Consider the following 7851-nt stretch of genomic DNA (forward strand, 5'->3'; position numbering starts at 1 on the left):
GACTTTTGCAAGCTACAACCTTCTATTATTAAGAATAGTGATTGGGGCACAGTGGCTCACACCTGTGCTCATCCCTGTGCACACCTGTGCTTGGCACATTGGGAGGCCAAGGCAGGAGGATCGCTTGAGGCCAGAAGTTTGAGACCTGCCCGGACAACATAGCAAAACTCTGTCTCTACAAAAAAATTTTAAAATTAACCCAGCACAGTGGCATGCCTGTAGTCCCAGCCACTCAGGAGGCTGAGGTGGGAGGATTGCTTGAGCCCAGGAGTTCGAGGTTGCAGTGAGTGAGCTATGATTGTACCACTGCACTCCAGCCTGGGCAACAGAGTGAGGCCTTACCTCTAAAATAAAAAAAAAAAAAGAAAGAAAAAAAGGAAAAAAAGGCCAGGTGCAGTGGCTCATGCCTATAATCCCAGCACTTTGAGAGGCCGAGGCAGGCGGATCACGAGGTCAACAGATCAAGACCATCCTGGCCAACATGGCAAAACCTGGTCTCTATTAAAAATACAAAAATTAGCCAGGCATGGTGGCATGTGTCTGTAGTCCCAGCTACTCGGGAGGCTGAGGCAGGAGAATCACTTGAACCTGGGAGGCAGAGGTTGCAGTGAGCCCAGATCGCGCCATTGCACTCCAGCCTGGGCAAGAGAGCGAGACTCCATTTCAAAAAAAAGAAACAAGGAAAAAAAAAAATAGCCACCCACCCTCCTCCTTTGCATGGTGAATCTTCCAGAGAGGGGTGTGGCCTCTGGAGTCTGCTCCTACCTCTAGGTCCCAGTGGCCAGAGAGCAGCCTCAATGCCTCTCTCCTCGGATCCCGTTGCTTCTCTTTTGTCTTCCTCCTTTCCATCATTTCTCACAACGGCAAGCTGTGGCTTGGTAACATCGCTGCCTGGAGCTACAGTTAATGTAAAAGCACTTTAAGATGGTGGTTCCCAAACTTTTCATGCAGGTAAATCACCAGAGAGCTTGTTAAGCTGCAACCCCCACTCTTGAGATTCTGATTCAGAAGGTGGAGCCCATGAATCTGCATTTCTTTTTTAAATTTTTTTATTTCAATACTTTTTGAGTTTTGGTTTTGGTTACCTGGATGAGTTCTTAGTGGTGATTTCTGAGATTTTAGTGCATCTGTCACCTGAGCAGCGTACACTGAAACGAATATGTGGTCTTTTATCCCTAACCCCGCATCCAAACCTTCCTCCCCACAAGTCCCCAAAGCCCATTATATTATTCTTATGCCTTTGCATTCTCATAGCTTAGCTCCCACTTATAAGTGAGAACAGACCATATTTGGTTTTCCAGTCCTGAGTTACCACTCAGAATAATGACCTCCAACTCCATCCAAGTTGCTGCAGAAAGCATTATTTTGTTCCTTTTAATGATTGAGTAGTATCCCACACTGTATATATACCACCTTTTCTTTATCCACTTGTTGATCGATGGGAACTTAAGTTGGTTCCATATCTTTGCAAATGTGAATTGTGCTGCTGTAAGCACATGTTATGCGTGTCTTTTTTAGATAATGACTTATTTCCCTTTGGGTAGATACCCAGTAGTGGGATTGCTGGATCAAATGGTAGTTCTACTTTTAGTTCTTTAAGGAATCTCCATACTGTTTTCCACAATAGTTGTACTAATTTACATCCCCACCAGCAGTGTAAAAGTGTTCCCTTTTTATCACATCCACACCAACATCTACTGTTTTTTGACTTTTCAAATTATGGTCAATGAATCTGCATTTCTAACAAGCTTCCAGCTGATGCTGACACTTCAGGGTCTACAGACCCCACTTTGAGTTGCACTGTCTTAAGCCATCCTGGATTGAAAAGCTGACTTTTGTAAGCCAGGCTCTGGAGTTGTACTAAGATAATAAAAATAATGGTGAATATTTATTGGGCTTTTACTATGTGTAGTCACTGCCAAGTGCTTCCTAGGCATTATCTTATTTAATCCTAACATAATACTATGAGGGAGGCACAATTATTAGTCCCATTTGTTCTCAGAGAGAATAAGTAATTTGCCAAATGTTACACAGCTTTGGCAGCCCTGGGGTTGCAACACAGGCTGTCCTCTTTCAAGCCTGTGATCTCAGCCAATGTTGCTCTCAGCTGCCCACACAGGTGGGACTTGCCCAGAATGCAGCACCTTGAGAATTATGCCAGCCCCACCAAGTGTCCCTGAGACCTCTCATGATGGAAAATGGCTACCTGTCCCTTGCAACAATGGTTCTCAGTCATTTCCTTCCATTGACACACCCCAGATGGAATTCACGGTATTCTTCCACTGAGACAACAAAGTTTCTACTTTGCCCATGGGTGAAATGTAAAAGAAACTTGAAGCAACTGTAAATCGCAACTCACAAGCAGTATAATAATTCCCAGCTATCACAGGTAAGAAAACAATGGAACAGTAACAATCGATCATTATGAGCTATCACCAAGACAAGATCGTCTGCAGGTGCATGTAATTCTTAATACACTAACTGTGATGCAACGGAGTGAGAGCAAAGAATTATGAACACTGTCTTTCTTTCTTTTCTTTTTCTTTTTTTGAGACAGAGTCTCACTCTGTGGCCCAGGCTGGAGTGTAGGAGCACAATCATGGCTCACTGCAGCCTCGACCTCCCTAGGCTCAGGTGATCCTCCCACCTCAGCCTCCCAAGTAGCTGGGACTAAAGGCATGTGCCACCATGCCAGGCTAATTTTTGTATTTTTTGTAGAGACAGCAGTCTCACTATGTTTCCCAGGCTGGTCTCAAACTCCTGGGCTCAAGTGATCCACCCACCTCAGTGAGTTACTGTTTAATCCCAAAGTGCTAGGATTACAGACAAGCATAAGCCACTGTGCCCAGCCAAATGTAATCTTAAACCCATTCTAATTTGGGGAGTTGGAAAGTAAATCAGTTGAAGACCTCATCTCTCTCCACCTGGTTGACATCTGTGTTTTTGCATACCTGGCATTCATTCCACCTCCAATTTTGCCTGAGAAATAAGTTCTCCCTCCTTCTAATGTGTTTTGGGAAGAGCTGACTCCAGTCCTGGTCTTGGAGATGAGCATTTAACCCATGCTTGGCTAATCAAACCATGATATGCCCCCAGCCAGACTATTGCTTCCAGGTTGGGAATCTGACTCCATCAGAGCCTGTCAGGCTCAGTTTGGAGACTCTTGTCGGAGACTCTTGTCAGAGACTCTGTCTCTTGCTCTTACAGCTGGGAGGAAGTGGGCCCGGAACTACTGAGATACACACAGAGAGATTGGGTGGCCATGTAATGTATCATCCAAATCAGGACACTTTTGAGAGCAAAAGGGAAACTATTAATAATTATGCTGGACAGCAGACAAAAAATGGAACTGTGTCAGGCAAACTGGAGTGACTGGTAGTCCTACCCATGAGATTTGCTCACAGCTAGTAAGTCAGAGCTCAAAAATAGAAACTTTATTTGCAATAGCCAAAAGGTGGGATCAATTCAAGTGTCCATCAGTGGATGGATGAGTAAACAAAATGTGGTCTACCCACACAATGGAACATTACTCAGCCTTAAAAAGGAAGGGAAATCTGACACATGCTACAACATGGATGAAAATTCAGTACCTTATGCTACATGAAAGAAGCCAGTCATAAAAGAGCAAATACTGGATTATTCCACTTAGATGAGGTACCTAGGGCAGTCACACTCATAAGGACAGAAAATAGAACGGTGGTTGCCAGGGGCTGGAGGAAGGGGGAATAGATAGTTATTGTTTAATGGGTATAGAGTTTCAGTTTGGGAAGATGAAAAAGTTCTCGAGATGGATGGTGGTGATGGTTGCACAACAATGTGAATGTACTTAATGCCACTGAACTCTGCACTTAAAAGTTAAAATCACAAGTTTTGTTATGTGTGTTTTACCACAATTAAAAATGTTAAAGATAGTAAAAACATTAACATATATTTTTCCTAATAAATATACAGGTTTTAAAAAACAGAAACTGGGTCTTGATGATAGTTTTTTAAATTAGCTATTTTGAAACAATGTTAGAGTCACAGAAAAGTTGCAAAGAAAGCGCACAGAGTTCCCTGACAGCCCTCACCCTGTTTTCACTATTGTTAATATCTTACATTACCACGGCACATTCATTGCAACTAAGACACCAACACTGGTGGATTGCGATTAACTAAACCCACACTTTCCTCAAATTTCACTCCCTTTTCCACTAATGACATTTTCCGTTATGGGAGCCAACCCTGAAGACCACACTGCATTTAGTTGTCACATCTTGGTCTGCAACAGTTTCTCAGTCTTTCCTTGTTTTTCAAGGCATTGAGAGTTTTATAGAGTCTTGATCATGTAGTAAATGAACTTTCCCTCAATTTGGATTTGTCTGATGTTTTTCTCATGATTAGACCTGGAGTTATTGGCATGGGGAAGAACACTACAGAAGTGAAGTGCCCTCCTGATCACATTATAGCAGGGGCTGCATGTTGTCAAAATGATTTATCACTGGTGATGTTAACCTTCATCACCTGGCCAGTGTTGGCCAGGTTTCTCAACTATAAAGCCACTTTGTTTTTTCCCCTTCCCATACTTCATTCTTTGGAAGCAAGTCCCCAGATCCAGCCTATGCTCAAGGGAGGGGGGTAATTAAACTCCACATTTTGGTTAATGATAGTTTTGAGCCCCTGGATCGACCTATACCTGAAGCCAAGCACTTCCAGCCTTCTCCGTTACCTGAGTCAGTATGTTCTTTTATTTTAATGAGTTTAAAATGAAAGACGCCTAACTCTTTTTTCCTTCCAGTCCGTCTTCCATGCAGAAGCCACCATGATTTTTTTAAGTGAATATATGACAAGTTCTCAGAACTACCACTAGGTCATAGCCTATTTGTACAGTCTGCATGATGAACATCCTTTGAGGTCTCTAACTGATGTAGCCCTGAGGCTTCAACCCCATCTGTCTCTCTGGGATAATATATTCTGTTGACCCAACCCTGTCAGGGAAGTAGTCTATTTAGACTTGCTGTTTTACCACACTTGAAGAGCTTAAATGCCCAGAAGTATTTATAGACACGATCTCTATCAAGGGAGAAAGGGGGACACTTTGTCAATCTCAGTGACCCAAATTTGAGGTTAGTGATCTTGCTGGGCTGTTAAGTTCAATCTTGCAAGTCTGTGCATTTCACAGTAATGAGAGGAGTCCTGAAATATTGGAACATCCAGTTCCTTGATTTGTCCATCCATCCATCCATCCATCCATCCATCCATCCATCCATTCAGTGAATATTCACTGATTTTCTGTTATGTGTCAGGGACTATGCCAGGCTCAGGGAAAGCAATAGCGAAGAAAACAAAGTCACTACCCTCGTGGGTCTTATTGCTAGTGGGTAAACAGATGATAAAGCAGTAAACAAGAAAATAAACTAGATAGTTTCAGATAATAAACACCACAAGGAAAATAACACAGAGAACTGATAAGAGAGTAAGTGATGAGGGAGGTGAAAAGACAGTTTTACTTGGGATTTCAATGGAAGATGTCTCTAAAAAGCAAAATGAGGAAAGGAACCAGTTACGAAAAACACCAGGGGAAGATCTTTCCGAGCAGATGGAACCGCAATGCAAAAGCCAGAAGGCAAGAAAGAGCTTGGTATGCTCAGGAAATAAGCAAGAAGCCAGTGAGGCTATAGCACAGTGAGTAGGGAGAAGGGTAGTGAAAGATTATGGTGAAGAAGTAAGCAAGGGTCAGATCATGTAGGACCCTTGTAGCCATGGAAACGAGTAGTTGCAAGGAAGGGAGTGACATGATCCAATTTATGTTTTTTAAAGACCTCTCTGGCTGCTCGGTAGAAAATGAATTGTGAGATGTCAGATTGAAAACAAGGAAGACCAGCTAGCTGTCTCTGCAGCCCAGGCAAGAGATGATGGGGACTAGATCCAGGGTGGTGCTTATAGACAAGAAGAGAAGTAGGCATATTTTAGTTTCATTTTGGATAAAAGGACTTTGTATTAGTACATTCTCACACTGCTATAAAGAACTACCTGAGATTGGGTAATTTATAAAGAAAAGAGATTTAATTGACTCACAGTTCCACATGGCTGGGGAAGTCTTAGGAAACTTACACTCGTGGCAGAAGGGCAAAGGGGAAGCAAGCATGTCTTCATGTTGGTGGCAGGAGGGAGAGAGAATGAAGGGAGAAGTATTACACAATTTCAAACAACCAGATCTCATAAGAACTGTATCACAAGACAGCACTAGAGGGATAGTGCTAACCATTAGAAACCACCCCCATGATCGAATCATCTCCCAAGAGGCCCCACCTCCAACAACTGGGATCACAATTCAACATGAGATTTGGGTGGGGATGCACAGCCAAACCACATGAGACTTGTTGGTAAATTAGAAGTGAAGAAATAATTAAGACTGAGTCAGGTTTTGGCTTTGGTGATGGCACCATTACCTGCATTGAATGGACTGGGGGGTGCAGAGCTTCATTTTGGATATATTTGTGACATCGGTAAGTGAATAATGAAGCCAGGGCATCTGCTGCAAGTAGAGGTCAGGAGAGGGAGGGATAAAGGAGATTTGAGAAGAGACAAAAATATATGAAATAATAATCTCAGAGAGGAGAAAAGCAAATTTAACCAGATAAATGTGTTAAGGTTTCTGGGGAGCATTATATGTCCATTTGAAATGTGTGACCATGAAGTGAAAGTGAAGCAAGGCTTCACACACCAGAAAATCCAGATGTGTGATTTTCTGCTGTAATATTCAATTGCATGGGTACAGACCAATGGTTTGGTCCAAACAGTAATGAGTTTTTTTCTAGATGAAAAAGTAAAGAGTGGAGGACACTCTTGGAATACTATGATGATAGTAATGGGATATGGAATCTACACTGGATAAGAATGAATAGAAGGACATTGGACAGGATAGATGAAACCTAATTAAATCAACAGACTACAGCTTCTCTGTCCAATATGGTAGCCACTAGCTACGTTGAACACTTGACATGTGGCTGGTCTGGATTGAGATGTGCTGGAAGTATAAAGTACATGGATTTCAAAGACTTAGTATAAAAAGAATAAAATGTAAAATATCTCATGAATAATTTAATATTGATTATACATTGATAATATTTTGGATCTATTAAGTTAAATAAATTATATTATTAATTTTAACTGCTTATTTTACATTTCTTTTTTTTTTTTTTTTTTTTTTTGAGACGGAGTCTCACTCTGTCACCCAGGCTGGAGTGCAGTCGCGCGATCTCGACTCACTGCAAGCTCCGCCTCCTGGGTTCACGCCATTCTCCTGCCTCAGCCACCTGAGTAGCTGGGACCACAGGCGCCCACCACCACACCCAGCTAATTTTTTGTATTTTTAGTAGAGATGGGGTTTCACGGTGTTAGCCAGGATGGTTTCAATCTCCTGACCTCGTGATCCACCTGCCTCGGCCTACTAGAAAATTTTAAACGACATGTGTGGCTTGCATTATATTATTGGATAAGGCTGAACTAAAGGTCTTACTGGGTTGGGGAAATGTTTAGGGTGAAGACTATCACAGAAGGAGAGTGGTCAGAGAGTGGGAGACTTGAAATCCAGATTTCAGGGGTTGTACAGTTACCACCAATGGCGAGGTCCAGGATGTGGCTATGGAAAGAGTGGGCTGGTCGGGGAAAGATTATGGCTGGGTGGGAAGGCCCAAGGATGGAGAAATCAAAGGGTTACACGAGTTATCTGTGTAAATGTTGAAATCATCAGAATGATGAGCAACGTGGGGTGGGAAGAAAGATGGTGGTGACGTAGGCATCAGAGGCTTTAATAATTGAGACGATGATAGATGACCACTTTTAGGAGGAGCAGCTGATGACATGAAC

The sequence above is a fragment of the Homo sapiens genome, chromosome 16 (assembly GCF_000001405.40).
Source record: "Homo sapiens chromosome 16, GRCh38.p14 Primary Assembly".
NCBI classification, from domain to species: Eukaryota; Metazoa; Chordata; class Mammalia; order Primates; family Hominidae; genus Homo; species Homo sapiens.